The 27952-nt window shown below is 37.0% G+C and overlaps 1 protein-coding gene and 1 long non-coding RNA gene across 8 annotated transcripts in view; one reads left to right on the top strand and one right to left on the bottom strand.

Moving 5' to 3' along the window:
* Window positions 1-27952, top strand: part of CADM1 (cell adhesion molecule 1) — a 335180-nt gene that overhangs the window by 83930 nt on the left and 223298 nt on the right. The gene's annotated exons all lie outside the window — the stretch shown is intronic.
* On the bottom strand, window positions 22828-23730 carry CADM1-AS1 (CADM1 antisense RNA 1). 2 transcript variants are annotated; one of them, NR_135103.1, is made up of 2 exons: window positions 23595-23730; window positions 22828-23220 (listed from the first exon to the last, which is right to left on the bottom strand). It is a non-coding gene; the product is annotated as a CADM1 antisense RNA 1 (long non-coding RNA). The 2 variants fall into 2 exon arrangements; NR_135102.1 differs by having other exon boundaries at window positions 22828-23217.

The following is a 27952-nucleotide window of genomic DNA, read 5'->3' as shown; positions in this document are numbered from 1 at the left end:
TGAGGAATTAAATGTCCTGAATTTGTTAGACATCTGCAGAAACATGCAATTTGTTGGGCAGAAAATTGTAAACAAAACAGACTGAGTCAATTATCAATACACCTGTGACACCCCGGGATGCCAGCTTTGGCTGACAGCTTTTAACCAGCTGAGGAGCAGGAGGAAGTTCACAATGATCAGGAGCAAGTCAATTCCAAGTTTTCTGCTATAACTTGTCCCCTTGCTTGTGTGGTGATCTCCTGTGTGGACACGTCTTTCCTTGTTACACTATACACATTGTTCTAAATTCTAAGTCATTGGTTCTTAACCAGTGGTATGTTTCAGAGGAGCTTAAGGAGAAAAGGAGCTTAAGAAATATGCCTGCTTCTAGGGGCTTTTGCCTGGAGAGTCTAATTCAGTAGTTGTGGGACCCTGGGCATGTGCATATTTTAAAAAGCACCCCAGGTATACACACCTGGTTGAGAAATAATCTCACATGTGTCTCAAGTTAACAATGGAGGAGAGCATGAGGTTCTGGACCAGGTCATGAGAAGGCTCGAACTGAATTTATTGATCAAGAAATCAACTCATTATGCAGATAAACATTCAGAGCTTGGGCACAGTCAAGATGAAAGTGGCTAAGGACAAAAATGTGTCCCGTTGATTAATTTCTGTAGAAAGGCCACTGACTTTGGGTTTGGACATCAGCCACTTCCTGATTTTAGCATCTGTTCCCAACTCTGGATTTTCCCATTTAAGGTCCATTCTGTCATCGTGTTCACCCAGTTTAACTAATCAGATTATTGAGTCTCAGGGGCTCATTTTCGGGTTCACGGTCAAAGATTTCTTAATACTTTAGAGAATTCAGTTAATTTCCTACTTTAAAAGACAAGATGGGGTATTGGCTTTATGAACCTGAAAACAGAGCTTTCACCAACTGGGAGACTTTTGCAAACTGGAAATATCTGATAATTGTAATTTGTAATAATTGTTAAATGTAGTTTGAACTTAAAGACTCAAAAGGATTATGTCTCTTTATGGTGTGTTTCTTAAAGGCAGGGGAGGGGCATCAAAAGGGTCACAAACAAACTTTTTGGATTTTTAAAGAATCTTCTACTGGGATTGAAGAAGAGGGGAAAAGGAAGAAATGTTTTCTAAAGTTACTTGTGTACTTCAGAGTATGATGGATTGAACACTGTTGTGAGAAGGGAATGTGGAGAGGTGACCCAAACAAAGGGGCAGTCTATTAGAAGCAAATGGTTAGAAGTTATTAGGAACTAGAGAAAAGCAAAAACTGTGTAATTGTGAACAGCATAAAGATGGGTTGAAAGAGGAAGGAAATTCTAAGTATAAAAACTTCTAAGTGGTCTTTCTGGGAAGTAGCATATGCTTCTGTAGCAGAGCATAGCAAAATTAGAGACCCATTTTAGTTTTTGTGAATACATTTACATTTTCTCCCCTTATTGATCATCACCTGTCTTCAAAAAAACCTTCAGTGTGCATTCATTTATGGGACCCAATTAACAGTTCAGATTCCTTTTCCTTTCTTCTGTAATATTTGTATTCTAAATTATGATTCAATGGGCTCTTGAATCTTTTATCTTTAGTAGACTATGATGTTATATAGTTTATGTAAATATTTGTCTTGACGTGCTTTAAGTACTTGCTCTTGTAAAGTCTCACATTTGCATTGTTTTATTGCAGTCATTCTGTGTAAATTAAACCCTAATCTCTTCAATTCTATTGTCAAGGCCTCACTCTTGGCTTGGGTGTAATGGAGATAGGATTTGGTTGGTCCTTTAATGTGGTATATTTAATTTAATTTTTCAGGTAGTGACAAACATTGGGGTTTGGGCTATAGGCTCTTTGACATTAATATGTATAAACTCTGACCTCAAATATGGAACAGTTTAAAGTGTTACACTGAATGCAATTTGCAGCACGAATTTTTTTTAAATATATAATGTGAAATAGTATTTCTGGTCCAGATTCTGCTGTAGAGCTTAGCTGAAGCAAACCCCCAATGGCTTATGCTTTCCTGAGGCTAATAGAATTTTTTTGGAAGCCTGTAAGGGTAGTAGTTTGATATTTATCTCTCAGTTCTCATGTACTATAGGATTTTTCTAAATATAGCCATCTTGACTGTAAATAGGTTACATGAAGCAGTAGACTAGTAGACTGGCCGTTCTTGTTAAGTGTAATAATCTTAACCACTTGCGTGTTCCACTCCCCTTATACCCTCGGGCTATACTATTAAAGAAGTTTCATTTTCTTTTTCGGATTATCAAAATATATAGAGCATAACCATTGAGCCACAAGTGACTTTTGCATTCCAGGATGGGCAAGGCAAATGTTCTCTCTCTTACTGTAAGATCACACTTTGTTGAAGAAAGACATCTTTTAATGTGCAAAAGGTAAAAGAGGAAGGAGAGCAAAATTTTTCTTCACGTCAAGTTGAATTATTTTGTTATTCATTAACATTGCTTCTTATCCGCATCTGAATTAGATGTTATATAGTCAGACCCAAACCATAATGTGAGGTAATCAGATCCACACTATAATATAATAAGGATAAATGCATCTTCACTACAGGTGTCGTTTGCTTTAGGGTGACTTGTATGTTAAAATTTGAATTAAATCTATCAGGCATGATCTGCAGTAGCCCCCGCTTGCCCATGGTTTCACTTTTGTTGGTTTCAGTTACCCATGGCAAACATGATCCAAAAAGATTAAATAGAAAATTCCAGAAATAAACAATTTATAAATTTTAAATGGCTCGCTGTTCTGAGGAGCATAATGAAATCTCAAGCCATCCCACTCTGTCCCACTGGGTTGTGAATCATCCCCTTGTCCAGCATCTCCACACCGTGTACGCCACCTGCCTGGTGGTCTCTCACTAGCCGTCTTGGTTATGAAGTTGACTGTGAGGTATTTCAGTGCTTATGCTCAAGTCACCTTCATTTTACTTATTCTGTTTTATGATTGGTTATTGTTGTCAGTCTCTTATTGTGCCTCATTTGTAAGTTAAGCTTTATCTTAGGTATGATGTATAGGAAAAGACGTAGGATATATGGAGTTTGGTATATCCGGAGTTTCAGGCATCCACTGGGGGTCTTGGAAGTTATCCACTGAGGATAAGGAGGACTACTTAGTTAGGTACTTTAGCATAGTCATGAATTAGTTTGTAAAGATTCACCACAAGTTTCCCGTAAACGGTGAGCTCCCTTAGTCATGTAATGCATGATTCAATTAAAAATGTTTTGATTTGCATTTAACTTTGCAGGAATTGACTGTCAAGGTGATATAACAGTTTAATGAGCTACTGTGGGAAATTGTGTAGTCCCCAGCCAGACAGTTTTCAAGTGAGTTGAAATCTATTTTCCCTTGGATGGTTAAAGAAAGGTATATATTGGCCCACATTTCTTCCTAAATGTCTCCTCCTCTCCTGTGTTTCTTAAACACACCTATACTTCCATATTGAATTATCATAAAATCTCTGTTTACATTTAATAAATATTCATCTCAAAAGCCCCTCAACTTACTGAAAATGCTTTTACTGTATTGGTTTAGAGACTGTTCCCTCTTTTTAATCTCTACTGTCAATTAAATTCAGTGCCCTGTGGCTGATTCGATTCAGTCTAAACAATAATTATATCAATAGTTTGAAAAAGTCAAAATATTATTTAGAGCATTTTCTAATTTTCCTTTTTTACTAGCTGGTCATGTCTTGTTGCATGCCTGAGTTTTTACACTGTGAGTACAATATCTATCTGTGTGTGTGTGTGTGTGTGTGTGTGTGTGTGTGTGTATTTAATCCTTACAACTGACCAGCATGAAGGGGGTTTGAGGCTACAGTCTTGGATGGTAAACTCAACAAGTTAGTACTGTGACTGTATGCTGAGTCTGAAAATAAGCCATCTAGGTTTGTGTAGGACAGAATACTAGGATACCAGGATGCCAGATGAATTTAAATAGTGTAGTGTGCTTTATCTGTGCTTGTTCTGTCTGTGCTGCTTAAATACTGATAAGGAGAGTCTACAAGAATACTAGATGTGATTTGTGCTACTTGAGTTTACTGTTACCCAGCAGATTTATTCATTCCATGTTTACAATCTGAACAGTTCACTTCATATCAGGGTTTAGTGATTCTGATGGGCTAAAATAGAAATATATTGTTTCATATTTTTTTCACTCTGGAGATTTAATATAAGAAAGCAGCGGACAATTGGCCAAAGATACTCAGCTTTGAATATGATTCCTGCTTTTCACAAAAATATGTCTTTGATTATCTTTTCATAAATGCATGACCTGGAGCTAAAATTTTCTGTCAGTGTCTTCTGTGGAGTTGTATATTAATGGTTTGACTTGGCATTATCAGCGGAAGAGCTATGCCACTACAGTATTTAAACTGCATGCCAGACATGGCAGCTGGTACAGTAGATAATAATGAATTGAAGTTTTCACAAGCCTTGTGGTGTTTTCTTACCATTGTTTGTTTTCGGTTTTCCTTTTGTATGAACACAAAAGGAGTAGGATGCACCAACTACAGTGAGGCAGATATAAGGTCTTTCTACCCTAAGATCACCTTGGCCTTTTCTTTCATGCAGCTTCTTCCAGGAAGGCTACTTTGATTATCCCACTTAGAATCAAAGTCTTTTTTTTTTTTTTTTTTTTTTTTTTTTTGGAGACAGTCTCACTCTGTTGCCTGAGCTGGAGTGCAGTGGAGCAATCTCAGCTCTGCCTCCCAGGTTCAAGTGATTCTCCTGCCTCAGCCCCTTGAGTAGCTGGAACTACAGGTGCACATCACCATGTCTGGCTAAATGTTGTATTTTTAATAGAGACTGGGTTTTGCATGTTGGCCAGGCTGGTCTCGAACTCCTGACCTCAGGTGATCCACGTGCCTTGGCCTCCCAAAGTGCTGGGATTACAGATGTGAGCCACTGGGCCTGTCCAGAATCAGTCTTTTTAAAAATTTTAATCGTTCCTTGTCTTTATAACTGTTCTGTCATATTCCTTATTTGCCTTGCATATGTCTTCTCTTAACTTTTGAAAACTTGTAACTCAAGCAGACTCTTTAAAACATCTCTTTTTTTAGGTTTTAGCTACCGGCCATAGGATCTAACAGGTGCAACAAATAATCAGTATATAATATATGAATGATGACCACTTGGTGAAATTAACTGTCAGTTATATAGAGAAAGGGTGATGAATTTAAGAATAGCCAACATTTGGTTAGCCATTTATAGATTAGAAATTGCTCTCATATGTGTTACTTCGTTTGCTCTCATGTGTTATCTCATAATAGTACTATGAGGTAGGGAATAGTTCACTTTCCAGGTATGAAAACTGTCAGAGGTTAAGAGATTTTCCCAAAGTCACTGCAACCACTCCATATTTTAACTGGGATTTGAAACCAATTTTTCAAGCTCAAAACTCTTCCCTCATTAGACCACTCTGCTAGAAGATATATATGCTAGTTCTTCCTCATCCAAGTCTAAAGTCGTAGATCCTTTTAAAATGCTGATCCTCCTTATTAGGGGATAATTGATGCCTAGAAAAGGTCACCTAAGTGAATCTACTTAAATCAGGCACCGGAATTTCACAGTAAATAGAGAAAAAGAGATTTGCTTGAACTTCATTGTGGAAGTGAAACTAATAATGAGGAATACCTTTTATATTTAACAACATTTAAACTATAATTGCATCTATGTGCCAATTCTTAGAATGAGCAAGAATGAAGTGTTGATTGTTTTCCAGGGCAATTTTTCTGACAAGTTGGATGACAAATGCCACAGTGTCCTTCCCTTTATTGTAAGTGTTTAGCCTGAATTTATTCTTGTGACTTTTCCGTTCTAGTGGTTCTTTGGTCTAACTTTACTAGAAACTCTTTGGCTCATGATTTGGCTTGTTATTCAAGCTGTCTTATCATCACTTTCATTGATTTTACCAAATTCTGTTCCTTTGATGAGATTTACAAATTTATTATTTATTATTTTTTTTTAAGAGTTGCACTTCTATATTGCAGTCTGTTTTCTTTGTATATGTGGTATAGAATCGTCCAGAGACCTACAAAGAATATAACTCTGTGGACAGAGATAGACTGTTGTGTTAATTTGGGTGGGGATTAATTTTTTAAGTGGTTTCTGTGTTACTTTTATGATGACTTTGGCCTTCTAACTATGGGGGCTTAAATGATGAATATTAAGATAACTAGGGCTCCCTGAATTAGTAAAAATATCATATTGATGTTCTTTACATAGTTGAAGTGTTGGGTGTTTTTTTTCTACTCCGCAATTATCTACTTTCATGAAAATAAAAGTCCATTGGGCTAAATATAATTGATGTAACAAAAAATAAGCAAATGGTTCTAGAAGAGGGCTTCATTTTAAGGCAGCATTTGCCTTAGTTAACAGATTAACAATTGTATGCTTTGTGTGTGTGTGTATATACTTATTTAAGCAGTATTTGCATAAGGAATTATTCCTTATGAGTGTGATATCATGAGACTGATGGTGGAAATCAGCTTGAGATTAATTTTAGCATAATGGTTAAGAACTGAACTGGAGCCGGGTGTGGTGGCTCACACCTGTAATCCCAGCACTTTGGGAGTCCGAGGCGGGTGGATCATGAAGCCAGGAGTTTGAGGCCAGCCTGGCCAACATGGTGAAACCCCATTTCTACTAAAAATACAAAAATTAGCTGGGCATGGTGGCGTGTGCCTGTAATCCCAGCTACTCCACAGGCTGAGGCAGGAGAATCACTTAAACCCTGGAAGCAGAGGTTGCAGTGAGCCAAGATTGCACCACTGCATTCCAGCCTGGGCGACAGAGCAAGACTCTGTCTCAGAGAAAAAAAAAAAAAAGAACTGAGCTGGAGCCACACTCCCTGGGATTTTGTCCTGTCTTCACCCTTTACTACCTGTGTGATCATGTTTCAAGTCTTGTAATCTCTCCATGCTAGAATTTTCTTGTGTTGATAATGGAGACAGTTATCATATCTTCCTCATAGAGTTCTTTCAAGATTTTAATGTACAAAGTGTCTAGAACAGTGCCAGACACATAGTAAGCACTCAATAAATGTTAGGAGTTATTGTGATTTGATTTTTGTTTAAGAATTATTATGAATATTATAGGGGTTTTGCAGAAGAAGGAAATGTGAAGAAAACTGCTTTAAGTTGGCATGAGAATGTTAAGTCTTCTGTTGTTGTTGTCAACGAAGTAATAATCTCAGAAATATTTGTTGAAGGAAAAACCTAAGTTTGCTGTTGAATGATATATAAAAAACTAATAATATTTTTGAGCAAATATGTTTAGGTCTTCTAACCATTTAAGTGTATTAAATGCTTCTTATGCACACCCTCTCTTCCCTCCTGTGTCTCTTTATTCCCAGCCCCACTCCTGTGGGTAAATAAACCAGATATTTCTTTAGGTTTTTACGAAGAAACCTGAAAGTAAATAATTTAATGGCTGAATGAAATGGTACTTTTAAATGTCTTTTCTCATGTGTAAATACAGTGAAATTGCAGTGAGAATTTATCTTTCAGTTGATTACTTGCTTCAGGTTTTAGGAGTGATGGTGACAGATGAACAGTAATTGAGGTGTGAATAAAATTTTGGAAAAGATAAATGATATCATTTCTTGTGGAAAATATTGCATTCTTCCATTATGGTGCGTGGCTGTTTATTAGCTGTCTTTAGTGGGGAAAGACCCTTGATGCTTGTAAAACACCTGTAGTTTTAAATTGGCTTAGGATAGATTAATGGTAAATGATTAGAGACCTCACTGGATTGACAACCACATTGCATTTGTAACTCCAGTGAGGTAGTCGGCACAAAAGTGGCACAGCCCTCCTGTGGATTATTATCTCTCAGGGAAAGAGAGAAGTACAGTCTTACTGCTAAAATTTGTCTTATACTAAGTTCCTTATTTTAGAATTGGTTGGAAGATTGCATTGTTTTCCTTCATATAGACAAGCAATTTTGAATCATTTTTAAAAAGCAGATTCAGGGGCTGTGCACAGTGGCTCACGCCTGTAATCCCAACACTTCAGGAGGCTGAGAGTTTCACTTGAGCCCGAGTACCAGGCTAGTCAAGGCTAGCCTGGGCAACATAGCAAGATCCTATCTCTAAAAAAATTTTAAAAAATTAGCTGGGCATGGTGGTGCTTGCCTCTAGTCCCAGCTACTTGGGAGGTTGAGGTGGAAGGATCACCTGAGACCAGGGAGGTAGAGGTTGCAGTGAGCCATGATTGTGCCACTGCACTCCAACCTGGGCAACAGAGTGAAATTCTGTTCTCAAAAGCAGATTCAAAATAATTTTTTAAAATACTTAAATTTGCTTCATAAAGCTGTTTATAAAAGCAGATTCAGGATTCATTTTTTAATTGCTTAAGTTCGCATTATAAAGCTGTTTCTATGCTTTCTCACATCAACTTAGTTTTGAGAATAAAAAGCATATATTGCTAAGAGTGAACTAGCATATTTTCAAGCTTTATGTGTAAAAAAAAATCTTGAAGTCTGTTATTAGTGGTTTTGTAAAAATTTCTGTTTTTAGTCTTGTCAAGAGGTGCTTCATAAAAACCAGGCAATTAGAATGAAGGGAATTTCAGTCTTAAGTTATTTGAGTTCAAAGCCTTTCCTGTGTTTTAATTTACTTTGTATTTGTTTTTATCAAACTCTGGTCCTATTTGGAGAAATAAAACCACTGACTTAGGGAGTTCCAGCTTACCAGTGAGGGTATTTGAAATTAGAGGCCCCAAATCGTTGATAACTGAGATTGTGCCATTGCACTCCAACCTGGGCAACAAGAGCGAAACTCCATCTCAAAAAAATAAATAATAAAAAAAAATAAAATAGAATTTCCACTTTCTTTGGCCACAAAGAATTGTACTTTTTTCTTAGTTGTTTATTTTAGGGGTGAAATTCAGTCAGAGACTCTACAGGGTCCCTACTGGGTAGGCCTTCTTTTGCTGTTTAGATTTCATGTGGCAGATTGTAGTAAGGCTCTCCTAATTCTTAACATATTTCCAGTTTTTATTAAGTTTAAAAATTTATGCCTTTCCTATCATTCCATAACTAAATATAGTAATGAAATTTTATCTGAAGTCAGGAACATTATCCAAATCTGATTTGATGTGTGTAGGGTACTGCACATTCATTGAGTGGTACAGATTGTGTTAAATGGGCCTGAAATAATGTTCAGGAAAGAGAATCACTTTCTGTTCTTCTTGACACAAACAGTTTGTCACAGACATGCATTCATCTCCCTATCTTGTTAGTGTAGTCGTTATATTTTTCATTACAAGTTTTATGCAAATCCTCTAGTTTTCCTTGATTAGGTTTACATGAATACATTGTAATTATAGACTGGGTGTTATTAATATATGTGATTAAACATGTAATTAATATGTGTAATTACATAGAGTCATGGCAGAGCTGGGCTCTATGCTGATTTATTGTATAGGTGCTGCTTACACAAAGACACAGTTAGGATTTTATGCTGAATATTTTCTCACACTGTAAATCTACGGTGGTTTGTCACCAGGGTATATATGCTTTTTCATTTAAGAATCCTTTTTATGGTCATGGCAGCAAATGGATTATGATTGTTTTTTACTGTGGCTATATCAAATACTCCACCCAGAGAACCCATAGAAGAAAAGTTTGTCATGGTTCTGTGTATGCGAGCAACACTGCTGTATGCCAGCCACACCCTGGAATGCACAGATTTTACTCATTTGTTTGTTTGTTTATTAAATGTGTTAAGCTCCATGTTAAACTCATCTGTTAAATAACCTTTTTCTCTTCTGTCTCTTATGTGTTTGGTTACTTTCCTTCTTAGCTAAATTTCCCTTTTTTTAAACATCGAAGAGCACCTTTCTGCTTTTTTTGCCGTCATCTGTATGTCATGTTCTTGTCCATCTCATCATTTCACATTTTTTAAAGCTCTGTAAACAGACATAATGCACCCTCTGCTTCCTTTTCAGCATTTATTCTGTTGCTCTTCCCCCCACCCTCCCATTCTGCCTCTAGACTTTGTTTATTTTTCTTAGAGAGGAATTCTAAATTAAACAATGCAAGAAAATGAAAATGGCAAGGGTACAACATTATAGAGGACTAAAGGGGAATAGAAGTAAGTTACGTTATTGAAATCTCAGTGTGAGGGAATAATGAGGATAACACAGGTTAATTTTCCGATGTGTCCTTTACCCACATAATTGTCCAGGACATAGATGTTATCGGAGAGAAGCTAAGAAGCACAATTTGTAAGAGTCTTAAAAGGGTAATAGAAGACACACTTAGGCTTAGCATCGTTAATGGGCAGAGAGGTTCAGGTCATAGTTGATTTGAGTCTGCTCAAAACATTGTGCAGCATGTTGTATTCAGTGTTCTGGTTAGGATGTTGGGGATGGCCCAAGGGCCCAATAACTAACAGTGTATAATTTTGATTTGAGTGCTTAAGTAGATATGTTTTCCTGAAAAAACATGAGCAGTAAAGGTTGACTTGGATTTGTATGCGGCATGTTTCCAAGGGGGACCTGGGAACAGATGTGTTGTCTGTTCTGAAAGCATTGGGATGCATCCATGTTTTGCGTACAGACCCCCTTCTGTCTGGTGCACTCTGCCCTCTAAAAGCTTCCTGAATTGCTTTGTAAACAAGGCAGCTACTACAGCTGCAACTGTTGGGTTTGGACTTTTGCCAGCTTGAAATTTATCCCTGCCCTAATGCTATATATCTGGGAGCAGGCAGTGGAATTTTTTTTTTTTTTTCTTCAAGCTTATGGAAGCATTTGCTGAGGAAGATCGTCTTGAGGGTCAAGGAACCCAGATTCCTTAAAACTGCATGCATTCTCCGTGGATTATTTTGACCACCAGGTCAGATTTCAGCACCTTTCCTGAACTTTTCTCCAGTTACTTAGTTGGGTTACTGCTTCATTAAAAACCCATAATTCCTATGTCTTTTATCTTGGTGGGCCACTTGGATTCAAGAGGACTAGATTCAGCCCCTTGAGTGAATGAATGAAGATTGTTTCTCAACATTCCTTTCTTTGGTATGCTAATATTTAACAATGAAAGAAAAGAAAGACAAAACAAAACAAAAAAAACGAAAAATAAGGGATAAAGTGAAGAACGGGAATTCTTAAGAAATCTCCTTTGAGGATTAGCGCTACCTGGCAGTTGCTAAAGTGACTCTGTGCTGCATGGATTTTACATTGTCTTTGTGTGTTATGTAGAGAGGTGTTGTGATGTCTTCTTTGAGTGCCTGAAATGCCAGTGTTCTTGTAGAAATTGGAGTTGTGCTTTATTATATTCTTGACTTGTTGATGAATTTTCCATTTAAGCCTCTTTCTTCTTTCTTATCTGGCTTTTGAAGTCTCCTGCACAGGTGGATTCCTTTATGCCTTCTCACTAGATCAGGATTTTAAAAATGTTCATTGTTCATCTCTTCATATACGTTATAGCTGCCTGGGCTCCCTTTTTGACCTCCTTGGGCTGATGATGTGTGACATGTGACACTGTGCAACTAGAGTTGGTATTTGCCAATCTGTATGCTTTTGGTTTATTTCATATTACCGGATTAAAACGAAAATCTATTTCATTCCAGTAGCAGCAGAAAGCACAAAATCTTGAGGTTCCTGCCAATATTCTCTTTTTGGAACACTATCAAAAATGTAACTTTTCTGTTGGAATAAGTATTTTTCTGGCCAACATCTCCCCCTCTGCCCCTGGCTTCTGTGTGATGAAATAACATTGGCTTCTTTTAGCTCAAGATTTGGACTATTTAGGAGCCCTTTCACATAAGAAATGGATGTCTTAACTAATTTTCTTGGAGTAGAGTTGATTATGAATAAGTACTAGGAGGAGGGGCTATGTAGAACCTTTGTAATGTAATATGGCATAGTAAAAGCAGGACTAAATGAGATTTCTCAGGATTGGGATGGGGGCATATCCTTCCTATGTCATGTGATTTTAGGTCAGTAACCAACACAGTTGGGAACTTCTCCACAGCTTTTGGCCGCTCCACATCTTTGAAGAGTGCTGGCCTGCATAGTGGGATAGAAATCCAGGCCTTCATTGATTTATTCCTTTTGGTTTCAGTCCCAGATCTTGAACTGTGCAGGGATTTAAACTGATCAGGGACAGCCAACTAGCTGTAGTATAAAGAAATGAGCTGTTGTGCTTGGGGGAAAAATTGTTTGAAGAACTAAAAATGACACATTTCCTTTAGGCAGAGGAAAGTTAATACATTGGAGTGTTACTATTTTTTAAGGGGGACGTCATTCCATTCTCATTTCCAGTGTTCACATGTAAAAATAAGAAAGAGTGGGGCTTTTGTTTAAGCTGTTGCCAATACCAACATTTACCACCTCCTTTAGAGTTTTTTTTTAAAACGGCTCTGTTTGACTGAAAATTTGCTTAGGGCTGAAACTTGAAACTTGTCATTTAGTTTCTGAGCCTACAGGCAAATTACTACCACCCCCCAACACCCAGCCCTTTTAGAGCAAGAAGACTTTTTAGGAATTTGATAATTAAGGAGCTTTTTTGGCATTTAAAATTGCTTACCTTTCTTCAATACACAAAAACTCAACTCAACTCTGCCTTTTTTTTTTTTTTTTTTTTTTTTTTTTTTTTTAAATGACAGGGTCTTACTTTCCTTCTGTCACCCAAGCTGGAGTGCGATGGTATGGCTCACTGCAGCCTCGAACCCCCCCAGGCTCAGGTGACCCTCCTTCCTTGGCTTCCCAAGTTGCTAGGACCAAACGGCACACACCACCATACCTAGCTAATTTTTAAATTATCTGTAGAGACAGGGTCTCACTATGTTGCCCAGGCAATCTTCCTGCCTCTGCCTCCCAAAGTGTTGGGATTACAGGCATGAGCCACCGTTCCTGGCCAACTCTGCCTTTACATGATAGCTCATCCTTTCGAAGTTAAATTTGAAATAAAAGTGGTCCTCTTGGCTGGATTTTTGAAACCTTCCTAATGTGGAATATCAGATTGTTGGGTGCATATCTAGGCATTTTGGCAGCACTTAATGAAAACAAATGCTCCAGCCTTTCTATACCAAGATGCTGCTGGCCCACACACCATACCTGTGCTTTGGTTCTTTCTCCTTATGGTGATGGTAGATTTGCATTGAACTCATCCAGCGGTTCAGCTTCAAAGACCAAAAGCCAAGGTTAGGGAACCATAGAACTAAATTATTTTGCCTTGTGAAATTAATATTTCAGAGAAATGGATTCATTGTTAACATTATCAACCAATAGCACCCGCAGTCTTGGAAAAGTTCAGCGAAGAGGTGAATGGGGTCTTTTTTAGCCTTCGCCCAAACCTCTGTAGCATGTCTATGGCTAGAGTATGTTGATCTTTCAGGTAGTGAATCATTACAGTTAATCCTGGTGAAATTCAGCAGCAATCACACTTAATACTTTAGTGTGATATGGGAAAGTGCCTCTCTTGTACATACACCCGACACTAGATGATTACATTTTACCATGCTTCAACTGTGGGGGCATTTTATGACTATATATCACTTTTTTTCTTTTTTTTTTTTTTAAGACAGAGTTTCACTCTTGTTGCCCAGGCTGGAGTGCAATGGCATAATCTCGGCTCACTGCAACCTCCACCTCCCAGGTTCAAGTGATTCTCCTGCCTCAGCCTCCTGAAGTAGCTGGGATTACAGGCACCCACCACCATGCCCAGCTAATTTTTTTGTATGTTTAGTTGAGATGGGGTTTCACCATGTTGGCCAGGGTGGCCTTGAACTCCTGACCTCAGGTGATCCACCTGCCTCGGCCTCCGAAAGTGCTGGGATTAGAGGCGTGAGCCACAGCGCCTGGCCATATCACTTCTTAACATACAAATTGCTTAGTAATATATAACCTAATATTTATTCTTTATAAATATTTTATTATTTATTATAATAAGGTATATAATATTATGTAATTATATAAGTATTACATTATATAATTATAATGTATAAATATAATATATAATATTTATAAATATTTTGTAATGCAGATGCCTTTTAAAAGTGTATATTTCACATGTATTTATTCTTTAAATTTATTATGGAAATGGGATTTTGTTAGTTTAATCTTCAGTAAAGGCATCTTAAATGATCTGGATTTTTTTTAATTGTTTTGTTTTAAAAATCAAACCTCTTTAAAACATCTTAACATCTTTTATATATTCTGGGGTCTAGCATACTCCAGAGGGATTTGGTTAAAATTTTTCTGAATAGAAATCCTTAAGGAAGCGAGTGAATATATGAATAATGAGGGAGGAAGTATTTGGATATTTTTAAGGAAACAAAAAGGCAGCCCTAATTTTAGCATATGGGGTCTAAAGATACCATTTACATTTTTATACCAATATAAAGTCAAGGAGAAAAGAAATATCCCCATGAGAAAACTGAAGAAACCAAAGTTAAGCAAAAGCTAATTGAAGAATCATTTAAGAGTAAAGGCCTACATTTTATGATGCAGATGCCTTTTGAAGTTGTATATTTCACATATATAGAAAAGCTTATAGAACCACGCCTAGCTTTGTCACATCTTAACACTATGCCGTGTTTGGACGTCCTCTCTCGTGTCTGCCCCCTCCCTCACCTTACTCCTTATCCTTCCTCCTAGGATTGAACTATAATCCTGAATTTACTGTTTATCAATCCCATGTCCATTTCAGTCATCTTCCTACGAACATGTTTGTCTGTAGGGTGTAGTATTTTTGCATGTTTTAGATAAAATATTAAACATAATGATATAAATGCTGTTATGCTGTTGTATTCTGAAATTTGCTTTTTACCTTCATACTCATTGGTGAGATTCATCTTGATGCCTGTGGCTCTGGTACACTTATTTTCACTGCTATATATATTTTATGTTTTGTGAATATCGCTGTTTATTTATTTATTCTCCTGTTGATGGACTCTTTCTTGTTTGCAGTAGACTGTTACATCCAGTGAAAGGATGACCATTCTTATATGTGTCTTTCTGTGTGCCTTCTACTTTTGAATGTGGGTAGGAATTTCTCTAGGGTAACACCTGGAAGTGGAGTTGCTTTGGACATCTTTGGCTTTCTTGGATAAAGCTCTCCCACGTGATTGTGCTCATGGCTGGTAGCATAGGTGCTGTGGGAGAACTCTCATAGCTTCGTATCTTCTTCAATTCCAGTACTGGTATTGCCAGAAAATAAAATTTTCATTGATTTGATGGTAGTGAAAACATACCTTCTTGTTTTAATCTGCATTTCTGCTGGACACACTGGCTTGCACCTGTAATCCCAGCTACTTAGGAAGCCGAGGTAGGAAGTTGGCTTGAGGCCAGGAGTTTGAGACCAGCATGGGCAACAGCAAGACCCCGTCTTTAAAAAAATAAAAATAAATTAGCCAGGATTGCATGCCTGTAGTCCAAGCTACTTGAGAGACTGAGGTGAGAGGATTGCTTGAGCCTAGGAGTTTGAGACCAACCTGGGCAACATAGTGAGACACTGACTCTTTAACAACAACAAAAATCTGCATTTCACTGACTTGTAAGGTTGAGAATCATTTCACATTTATTGGCCTGTTGAGTTTTCTCTTCTCTCAGTTTCCTAATGCCGAATCCTTTGCTGTTTTTCTATTGGATTATTTTGTTTTGTCTTTTTTTTTTTTTTTTTTTTCCTGAGGCAGGGTCTTGTTCTGTTGCCCAGGCTGGAGTGTCTCACTGCAGTCTTGACCTCGGGGGCTCAAGTGATCCCCGCAACTCAGCCTCCCAAATAACTGAGACCACAGGCGTGCACCACAGTGCCTGGCCTTCTTGATAATGTGGAAATGTGGAAATTCTTTATGTTCTGAATACTAATCCTTGCGGGTTATATGCAATTAAGTATATGGCTTGTTTTTTTTTATTTTTATTTATGTTATTTTTTGTTTTATAAAACTTTTATATTAATTTTAATGCAGGCAAACTCAATCTTTTCCTTTATGGTTTTGCTTTTTGCTTATTTAAAAAGCCTTTCCTACTTCTGAGGTCATAAAAGGTACTTTCTCTCCCTTTCTCTTTTTTTCTTCTAAAAGTTTGCGTTTTACTTTTGTTAACCTATCTGGAATTTTTGTGTATGATATGCAAATGGGCCATATATATATATATATATATATATATATATATATATATATATTTTTTTTTTTTTTTTTTTTCCGAGACAGATTCTTGCTCTGTCGCCCAGGCTGGAGTGGAGTGGCATGATCTTGGCTCACTGCAACCTCCACCTCCTGGGTTCAAGCAATTCTCCTGCCTCAGCCTCCCAAGTATCTGGGAGTACAAGTGTGCATCACCACACCCAGCTAATTTTTGTATTTTTCATAGAGACAGGGTTTTACCATGTTGGCCAGGCTGGTCTCGAACATCTGACCTCAAGTGATCTGCCCGCCTCAGCCTCCCAGGGTGTTGGGATTACAGGCGTGAGCAACTGTGCCCAGCCTAATTTTATTTTTTTTCTATGAGGATATCTGGTTGTTTCCATGCTGCTTTGAAAAACACACATAAAAAAATACTTTTTTTTTTTCTAAAAACTGACTTTTGTTTTTGAAATTTTAAAACCAATTTGAACTTTAAAAAACTAATTTCAGGCCGGGCACAATGTCTCATGTCTGTAATCCCAGCACTATGGGAGGCTGTGGAGGGCAGATCACTTGAGGTCAGGAGTTCGAGACCAGCCTGGCCAACATGGTGAAACCCTGTCTCTACTAAAAATACAAAAATTAGCCAGGTATGATGGCACACACCTGTAGTCCTAGCTACTTGGGAGGCTGAGGCAGGAGAACTGCTTGAACCCAGGAGGTGGAGGTTGCAGTAAGCCGAGATAGCGCCACTGAACTCCAGCCTGTATGACAGAGGGAGACTCCGTCTCAAGAAAAACAAAAAAAATTAAAAACAAAAAAATTAACTATTTTCAGACTTACCAAAAAAAAAATTGCAAAAACAATGCCAAAAATTCCCATAGACGTTTCATCTAGATTCTCCAAATGTTAACATCTTACATAACCACTGTAGAACCATCAAGTCAGAAAGTTTGCAGTGGTTCAGTACTATTATCTAATCTCCAGACTTTATTCAAATTTTCTTAGTTGTTCTCACTAACAACCTTTTGCTGCTCCAGGATTCGATTCAGGATTACACATTGCATTGACTAGTGATGTCTCTTTAATCTGTGACTGTTTTTCAGTTCCACCTTTGTCTTTTATGACCTTCCTTGATAGTTTTGAAGAGTACTGGCCAGATATTTTGAAGAATGTCCCTCAGTTTGGATTTTTTTGATATTTTCTCATGGTTGAATTTGTTATGCATTTGTTTGCAAGAATGTGATTTGTGTCCTCAGTGTAACGTATGAGGAAGTCTATAATACCCATTTATCCTGTTATTGGCAACGTTAACTTCAATCATTTGGCTAAGGTGGTGTCTGCCACGTTTCTCCACAGTGAAGTTACTGTTTTTCTCTTTGTAATTTTAGCATGCATTCTTTCCTATGGTGTTTGCTAAATGATTTCTATTCCCATCATCCTTTCCACATTTGTTAGTTGCAGTTCTATCAGTACCATTTATTGAAGAGTCCATCATTTCTCTAGTGAGTTATGTTTACCTCTGTACTGATTTATAAATCTACTTCTACATCTCTGCTAGCACCTAACTCCCTTCATTTAGAGTTTTATACCCTTTTGCCTTCTCACCAGTAACATACAAAGGTGCTATTTCCCCTCAGCCTCATAAACGGAGTATGTAGTCAAACTTGGAGTTTTGCCAATCTGATCAGTGAAAAAAAAAATGTTATGTCTCTTATTATGAATAAAGTTGAGCATCAGTTCACATGTTTTGAGCCATTTTTGCTTATTCTTCTGTATACTCCCTGTTTATGTCCTTTGCCTATTTTTCTGTGGGAATGCTGGTATTTTTCTTTTAGATTTCTTAGAAGCTTTTTTGTTTTGTTTTGTTTTGTTTTGTTTTTGAGACAGAGTCTCACTCTATCGCCCAGGCTGGAGGGCAGTGGCATGATCTTGGCTCACTGCAACCTCCGCCTCCCGGGTTCAAGCTATTCTTCTGCCTCAGCCTCCTGAGTAGCTGCGACTACAGGCACGCACCACCACACCCAGCTAATTTTTGTATTTGTAGTAGAGACAGGGTTTCACCATATTGGCTAGGCTGGTCTCGACCTCCAGACCTCATGATCTGTCCACCTTAGCCTCCCAAAGTGCTGGTATTACAGGTGTGAGCCACCGTACCTGGACCTTAGGAGCTTTTTATATGTTAGGCATTATAATTCCCTTGTCTGTGATAGGTTGCGAACATTGTTTTTCCAAGTATATCATTTGTCTTTTGGCTGATGGCATTTTGTTTTATTTTGCTATGCACAAGGGTTTTTATAAAATACATTTTTATGTACACAAAGTTATTTTTTATTATTTCTGGATCTGCCTTTTCTCTAACTTTATAACAGACTTCAAGTTTTCTTTCAAAAGTTATGTGGGTTTTTTTTTGTGGGGGTGTTGGGCTTTTTCTTAAAAAAGACTTAATTTTTTGTAGCAGTTTTAAATTCACAGCAAAATTAAAAAGAAGGTACAGAGATTTCCTTGTCCCCATACATGCATAGCCTTCCCTGTTGTCAACATCCTCTACCAGCGTGGTACATTTGTTGCAGTTGATGAACCTACACTGACACACCGTTATCACCCAAAGTCCATGGTTTACATCAGGGTTCACTCTTGGTGTTGTCCATTCTGTCGGTTTCAACAAAGGTATAATGACACATATTCATCATTATACAGTATTTTCCCTGCCTTAAACATCATCTGCCTTCTGCCAGTTCATTCCTTCTTCCCTTATATCCCTGGCAACCCCTGATCTTTTTGTTGTTGTTGTTGCTGAGATGGAATCTTGCTCTGTCACCTAGGCTGGAGTACAGTGGCACAATCTCGGCTCGCTGCAACCTCCGCCTCCCGGGTTCAAGCGATTCTTCTGCCTCAGCCTCCTGTGTAGCTGGGACTACAGGCGTGCGCCACCATGCCTGGCTAAATTGTTGTGTTTTTAGTAGAAATGGGGTTTCACCATGTTGGCCAGGCTGGTCTGAAACTCCTGACCTCGTGATCCACCCGCCTCGGCCTCCCAAAGTGCTGGGATTACAGGCGTGGGCCACCGCGCCTGGCCAACCCCTGATCTTTTTACTGTCTCTGTAGTTTTGTCTTTTCCAGGATGTTATATAGCTGGAATCATGCAGTATGGTTGCTTTTTCAGTTTGGCTTCTTCATTTATTAATATGAATTTAAGGTTCCTTTATGTCTTTTCATGGCTTGATAGCTCATTGCTTTTTAACGCTGAATACTATTCTATTGTCTGTGTATACCACAGTTTGTTTATTGATTCACCTAGTGAAGGACATTTTGGTTGCCTACAAGTTTTGGCAATTACGAATGAAGCTGTCATAAACATCTGCGTGCGGGTTTTTGTGTGGACATAAGTTTTCAACTCTTGGGTAAATACCAAGGAGCATTATTGCTGAATTGTATGGTAAGAGTATGTTTATTTTTTTAAGAAACTGCCAAACTGTCTTCAAAAGTGGCTGTACTATTTTGCCTTCCTGCCAGCAGTAACTGAGCATTCCTACTGCTCCACACCCTCCCCAGCATTTGGTGTTATTGGTGTTCTGGATTTTGGCCATTCTAATAGGCATACAGTGATACATCATTGTTGTTTAATTTGCATTTCCCTGATGAAATCTGATGTGGAGCATCTTTTTACATGCTTATATATATCACCAGCAAATAAGCATATATATATATATATATATATATATATATATATATATATATATACACACACACACACACACACACATATATATGATACATATATATAAAAGATATATATTATATATATGAGAGATATATATATATATTATATATATATATATATCACCACCATATATATATGTAGGTCTGATTTTGACAGTATTCTGATATATAATGTGAAGTATGAATGCAATTTAATTTTTTTCCATTGGCTGTCCAGTTGTCCAAATATCATTTATTAAAAAGGCCATCTTTTCCCACATTGATTTGAGATGTGACGTCTCATCATATACCAATTTTCTATGTATACTTTTTTCACTTTCTGAGCTTTTTGTTTTATTCTATTCTGTTTCTTCACGCAGCAAAACCACACTCTTTCACTTGTAGAAGCTGTATAATATTTTGAAATATCTGGTTGTGCCTGCCTCTTCCCTATCCTGATGTAGAACACAGACACACACGTACACTGTTTTTCTTTTTTAGGTTTTCTTGGTAATTATTTGGTCTGTTTGTTTTTAATTTGTTTAAGTTTTTATAGCCAACAGACCTAGTTGGCATCTAAGTAGCTAGCATTTCTTTGCTATTTCTAGAGACTTTCTTTGCCACCTAGTATCGACCAATTCTTTGTTGATATGTCATTTATTCTGAAAAAGAATGAGCATTTTATATAGGCTGGGTGCAGAATTTTGTATGTACATCACACATTTCTGGAAATTTAAAGTTTTTGTGGGCTTCTAAAGCAAATTATGCAGCATGTGTAAGATTCAGGGATATCCTACAGCCTGCTCTCATGTCATGTTCATCATATAGGTCAGTGGGTAGACCGCAGGTGGACTGTGAACTGGCTAACGCTATGTGAAAGAGGGTTTCTATATGTGATTTTTCTGGAGAGAAGATACATGAATTTTAAAGATGTTTTATCATCACAAAAAGTTAGACTGTTCCAGGTAAAGGTGAGAAAAAAGACTGGAATTTAAATACTCTGTTAAAAAAAGAATGAGGATGGCTTTGAAAAATTGAAAGATGAAAAAAAACAGCTCTTTTTATACTATGGTGCTCAGGATACATTGACTATAAAATTAAAGTGTGTTTTAATATATTAGTAGGTAAAGTTTCTGAGAGGTGAATGTCTACATTTACAATAATGGTGTTTTCTCTCATATTTCTTTTAGGTAAGTGACAATCTTATGCTTGGATACATCAGCTTCAAAATGGATGGATTTTGAGGGTTTCATTCCTCTTCTCTGATGCTGTAGCAGTAAGTCATACTTCTCATGTGTGCTCTGTTCTGGTCTGGTCTGGGCCAGGGGATTGGCTTGACAAAAGAAACTAGATAATTTCTTGTAAACACTTTGCTTCTTTTACTTGATATACGTGTTTTGTTAAGAACTCTTTGTATGTGTAGTCTCTGAGATTGCACAGAAGAATAAAAGGACCAGCTTCCAACTTTCAAGAAGACTGGATTTTCGTAAGGATACAACAGAAAGAACTTGGGTTTTGGAGTTGTATTAGGTTTGAATTTCACTTTTTCATTACTGTGTGATAACTCAGTTGGATATCTTTTTCTTCTTCTATTTCCTCATTTACTCAATAGGTGTAATAATAACTACGTATCAGATTGTTGGGAAGATTAAATCAGGGAATATCTATCCTTATCACAGTGCTCCAATATATAGATTTTGTTGCTCATTTCTTCTTTCCAGCTCTATCCCATGGCTCAGAAAGAAACAACAATGTCTAGAACATATAAAAATAGAGACTAACTCTCCCTCCTGTTATCTGAAGGGTCTTTGGCTGAGATTCAGGAAATCTTGGAGACCAGGCACCAAAGGATTTTGTAAAGGAATCTGTAGTGGGTCTAAGTAGGCACTTTTTAAAGCATCAGCCATCTTCTTGAATGTCATAGTCACATTAAAAGAGCCTAGTTAAATGTGGCTTAGATATTGTTTCACAAGTGGCCTTAGTGGAATCCCTGTAAATAAATATGTTAGAATATTAGGTTGGGAAAATATTGTTTTGTTTAATCTAAAATGGAATTTAAACAAATGACTAAAGAATGTAAGCTGAGATTGTTTGATCTCATGTGATTCTTTAAATAATTGTCACATTGTTGTGTTTAGAATTATCTAGCTATCTGGCCTAGTAAACAGATGAGCAATATTCACTGAGAGGGGAAGTATATACAATTTGGTTTGGAACGTGGAAGAGAACCATGCTTAAGTTGGAGAGACACAAGTCAGAAAAGTCAGGGGGAGATTCAGGCATGGCCATTTTAGTTCATATGGCTCAAATACCTCTAATCCAGTGGCATAAGGCCTGACAAGAAATGTTCCTCTCTAAGGAGATGCTGGGGCCAAGGGAGACTACAGTTCATTGCACATTCAGAGATTAAAATATCTCCAAATTAGTTCCAGTGAATCATTTTAAATTATTTTAAAAGCCTTTTATATTTTAATCAGAGCCTATTCACGACCAGTTAATTTGGATGGCACGTTCTAAAATTACTTTCCCCCAATGATGTGTTGTGCCACTGCCATTGAATGCAGAAACCTCACGGAAGAGGGGATTAAGGAAATTTGAAAGTACCAAGGAGCTGTTGATCTTAGTCAAGTGTTTACTGGTTTATGAGTAGATTAAGATTTCGTTCTTGTCATCTGATTTGGATGGGAAAATGAGTAATGATACTCTTGTAGAGAGGGTGAGTGATTCCATAGGATGCCAAAAGTATGGCGATGTGCCCATTTCCCCAAATATTCAGGGAAGACTTGATGCTGTGGCATTGCTGCAGTACTTTCTTCAATATTTGGATGTAGTCTCTGGGTTTAGGGAGGTATTGTTTTAACCATCTTTGCTAGTCTCAAAATTTTTATCCACCATTTTGTTAATCTGTTCTACAATTAGCAAAGGGGTGCATGCCTGTTAAGAGTTCCAACTGTATGGTACACTTCCTAGTCATTAACGTAACTGATAGAGTACAATGTCTCTATTGTCATTGAGAATAAAAAAATGAGCTATACAGATCATGTGTTGGTTCAAGTTTGACTTTTATGCTCTGTTATTCTCACTTCAAAGATGATGAGACTGAAACTCAAAGAAAGAAGACCTGCCTTGGGTTACATATCAGTTTAGTGATGGAACTCTAGGCCAGCGCTTTTACTGATAGTGATCTTCACTCTCTGCTCCTCTTTGACTGGGGAGGAGCCTTGTGCTTAGCTGTACTATTCTACATCTTGATACATAGACTTTTCATTTTGTGGGAGAGTAGCAGCAAGTCCTTGGAAGTTGTTCATTTTGCAGTTAGCTAAGGTAGAGGGGCTGGTAATGTTCAGTTTTTCTGTACCATTCTCCTGATATGTTGGCTCAAGATACCAGAATCTATCTTGGAATGTTGTGTATTACCCATTAGTTACCAATCTTCTGCTGGGGAAGAATATAAATAGGAGAAAAAAGAGATGGACAGGATGAATTTTTAAATTATAGCACTGAGTAACAACTGCTAGTCAAGAAGTTTTTGGCAGTTTGTTAGAATCTCATTTTAAAGCAATAACACACTCAGAGTTGTATTCAAACACTGAGATAAATGCATCAACCTAAATTCATGGTTTTGTTTTTTTCCATGTAGCTGCTAATTATTGAACATAACGAGGCTTATTCATAATTTCTTTTCTCCTGCTTGATAGCCATAATCCTGTATTTATGCTGCTGTCATTCCCATGGTAACAGACTAATGTCTGAAGCATAAGATTATTAAATACAGCACAGTACATTAAAATAATGCTAAGGTTTTGACTTACAGAGAGACTTTCACACTGGGGCAAACTTCAAAAAAAAAAAAGAGAACGCTTATACAGAAAGCAATTTACTTGGCCAGTAATGTTTAGTATTCCCATAGCTATTATGGCAGAGATTTGTTTGAATTATAGCCTCTTCCTTCCCAGCCCATCATCTCCTTTGGCTTTGCAGCCAAGTCTTAATCTGGTGTTTATGATGTCAGCCTGTTGCCATGGGAGTTATTCTGTCACAGATGTATTGTGACTTCACTGCAGGACAGAAGCAGTGGAAAATTTAGGATGAAATAGAACAACTCTAAAGTTAATCTCCAGCATATCTGTTTTGGAAAAGAAGTATTCCCTTCACCTTTATGTGCTCCTAAAAATAAATAAATAAATAAAGTTAGTTAAGTGGTGACTTGTTGAAGGTTGGCCAACGAATATTGTTGAAATGACCAAAATGCCAAAAAGCCAGCACTAAGGAAAAAATGTTATGTAGCTCAACCCTGGCTCTCTGAAGAGTGGTCAAGATTTATGTTTTTAATCCTATGCTACAGTAATGAAGCACAACCATGTCTGTAGCACATAAATTGATACACCATTTTTTCTGGTTTTCTTGTAAAGGACTTTCTTCTATCTTAAATCTAATGTGGTCACATTCACAAGGACACGCGCCCTTTGCTTCCACCACCAATGACAACCACATCTTTATTATTCACAGACATATGTGGAGGCCCTGCCAAACTGAGAGGCATCTTTGAAGTCAAATTTTGTAGTGCTCATAGCACGTTAGCATTATGGTCCCTCAGGGGCCCCTTCATCATCTGGTATCTGGGACAGTCTCCCATTTGGATGGCATAAAAATAATCTAGGTTCTTTCCTAGGGATGAGAGATTTCTACAGAGTTAAGCTAAGTACACAGGTGATCCTGTGTGCATGATGAACTCTTTGAATGTCATGAACCAATGGTACAAATGGAATGCATGTACCTTAAATCATTTCTTTAAAAAAGAAATACGGGACAGAAGGAGAATAAAATGCTATGTAGCAACTAAAATCTTTTGGACTATGTTTAAATAATATGTAAAATTAGGAAATTAGCTACAGTGAGTCTTTTTTAAAAAAAGTTGGAATTACAGGGTTTAGGATTTTTTTCTTGCCCTCTTCTTCCATGTTTGAACTTAATAGAGAGTTTTAATATCCTTCCCCTTATTAAAATAAACCATTAAAGTAGGCAAGGTTAAGCAAGTTCACATTTCAAACATCTCCGATTGCTGGCGATTTGTCACTAGAAAGCTGTGGTAGTCACCTTGGAATCTGCATACCTTTTTTTGTGTTTATGAGAATAATCTGTCTTCTGCTCTCTCACCCAAATCCTTCTTAAAGGACTGGGGCTCTGCTGTAGAAACTCATGTCAGCATAATATGCCATGTACCTCTATAATGATTTTTTTTCAGCATTTTGTTGAGCCAGCTTCAGAAACAGCAGTGAGTATGTGTGTAAATGATTTGCTTTAAAAAGCAGATGTAGATTAATGCATTGGTTTAGTAATTTTTTCCCAACTCTTTCCTTTTCCCTTTATCTTTTTCTCCCCCTTCAGTTCTCTGGGATAATCCCAATGAGAAATCTGAAAGAAGGTAGAAGAATTTGTTTGTTTTCTGTACTTTACGTCAATGATTCCCAAACTTGGAGAGCATCAAGAAATCCTGAATGCCTGCTGTCACCCCCAAAGATTGTGATCTAATTGTTTGGGGGTGTGGTTTGGGCTTTGGCATTTAAAAAATATCTTTAAGTGATTCTAATATACAGACAAGTTTGCTTTCTGCTTTCTATATATGAATAGCTGAAAATTGAACTATCAAAGGCAAGTCTAAATATCACACGTGTATTTGATTTTTATAAATCTGTTGTGCCCCTTCCTACTTTATGCCAAGTCTCATTTCCTCTGTATAAGAACATGCTATAAAAGTAATCAATCTCTGACCCACGAATTTTTCCCTTTCTTTTGGAATGAATAATGGATGAACATTAATTATCTCTAGCGTTTTGTTTTGTTTTTTTATTTTCTACTTTTTAAAAAAATTGGCTTCAAAATTTTAGGAAATTTTGCATCAAGACTATAAAACAAAGTCATGTGGCTCGTAGGGAAATCAACAGAGCTCCTGTTTCAGAAACTTGATTAGCACTGGAAATTGAACTTTAGTTTTTGACATTGGGTTCCACACTATGCACCATCTCTGTAGTGTGCTCAGTCTGCATGCAGATTGTTTTCCTTAAGCTCTTTATAAATAAGATGACATTAAAAGAATAGTTTAATCATGTTTTCGTTTTTCAATATGTAACGCTAGAGAAGACGAGAAGTAGATTTCTTCATCTCATAAAACAAACTACCTTTGCAATAAAGTTCTGACTAAAACTTAACCCGGCATTTTTTTTTTCATTTATCTTGGTTATTGCTTTTCACATGTCTCGTGGTTCTTGTAAACATGATTTTCCCTCTGGAGCTAGATAGAAAGCTAAAGTCATAAAGGAAAGTGTTGGTATCCAAGCATCTTGCTTCTGATGTTTAGCCTTAAGAAATATATTTGAGCTTAAAAGAAAAGTAATAGGTTTGCTTGAATTTTCTTACTTTTCCTTCACATTCTCTTTTACTGCATCTATGGATAGCTCTAATACTTGCTTTAGATAGAGATCTGATGTAATTTTATAAAGCAGTGCTGTAAGATGACTGCAAAGGATGTTAATATTTCTGTTGACACTGCCTTGTAGATTTCCAATGAGCATGTGCAGATGTTAAGTCTGTAGATCTAGATCTGTAAGCACAACCATTGTCTTTGTTCTAAATGTTTGAATTTGTTTTAGATAGTCAAAATGATTACTCTACCTGTACATACTATGAAAAAGGGCTTCCCTAAGAGCTTGGGTAGTTTTTTCTTCTGACCATCCAGAAAGGTTTTTTGTTTTCTTTTTTTTTCTTCAATAAATTCAGCCTTTTCATAGCAGATGATTTATTACCGTGGTCGGTGACTCTGTATTTGGCTGATTTATTGAAAAGTCCATTTATTATCAGTAACTTTAGTTTATATTCATGGTAAGGACAGTGCTAATGCCATAATGCTTTGTATTTTCTCATTTTTTTCAGGTTTGTTCCTCTTTCATAGCTATGTGGATTAGGAACTAAAACTGAAAAGATCCCTTGTCAAATTTCAGATTGAATTTTAAGATACAAATTTTAATGAGATAATTTTGGAATGAATGGACCCTATAAGGTTATTCAGAGCTGTGGATTTTTTTTTAATAGGGGAATAAGAATGCATTCTGTTTTTAAAAAATGCTACCTCTATGTTTTTTTTTTTTCAGATACTGTTAACATTTGCTCTTTTTTCTAATACTTTATTTACTAAGACTTCATTCTTCTGTTTGATTAATGACAACCCCGAAAAGTATATTTTATCCCAACTTTTCTATTAAGTCTTTCTTTCCTTCAGTCTTCTGTGAAATCTGTTTCATTTAAAATTTTTTTCTAATTCTAAAGGTAGAATATCTTTATGTTGATAAAAAAGATAATCCATAAAAGTATAGTTTAGAGGATAAAATTCAGCTATAATCCTACCACTCAGAGAAAAATATTCTTGATATTAATATTTTTCACCTTCCATGCATATTACCATGCCTAGTTCAGATTAGACTCTTCTTGTTTTTATTTATTTAATATTGTATTATTTGCAGTCTTCTGTCTTTGTAAATATTCTTCAAGCATATGTTTTAAAGACTATATAATAATTAATTTTGTGGATGTATCATAATTGAATGGGCTATTTCTCCTTTTTTTTTTTTTTTTTTTTTTTTGGAAGAGATGGGGTCTCGCTATGTTGCCCAGGCTGGTTTGCAGTGGCTATTCACAGGTGCAAGCATGGCATACTACAGCCCTGAGCTCCTGGCCCAAGAGATCCTCCCTGGGCCCAGGAGCCTCAGCCTTCTGAGCACATGCGAACTACAGGTGCACAACTACTGTGCCTGGCTTGTTTCACCACTTTTAATCCTCTAGATTTTTCCAGAATTTTGCTATTGTAAATACTGCTTTCATGAATATCTTTGTATTTGATCTTTGCCTCTATTATATAGTGTTTCTTTGCAGGTTTCACAATTGAAATTCCTGGGTCAGATAATGGTTGTCTTGATTTCCTTCCTCCTGGCTGGAAATGACCATCTCACCACATGGTCATTTGTGTTTGGGAATGCGAATGTTAGTTTTTAAAGTATCTGATAATTATGCAGAGGAAAAATATAATTTTGCTTTAATTTGTGTTTATTTGCTGTCAGCGAGGTTGTTTTCCTCCAAAAGTTTATTAACCATTTGGTTTTCTTTTCAGTAGGGTTTT

The sequence above is a fragment of the Homo sapiens genome, chromosome 11 (assembly GCF_000001405.40).
Source record: "Homo sapiens chromosome 11, GRCh38.p14 Primary Assembly".
Lineage (NCBI taxonomy): Eukaryota > Metazoa > Chordata > Mammalia > Primates > Hominidae > Homo > Homo sapiens.
The sequence above is the reverse complement of the archived record's forward strand: the minus strand, read 5'-3'. Positions and strand labels throughout refer to the sequence as shown.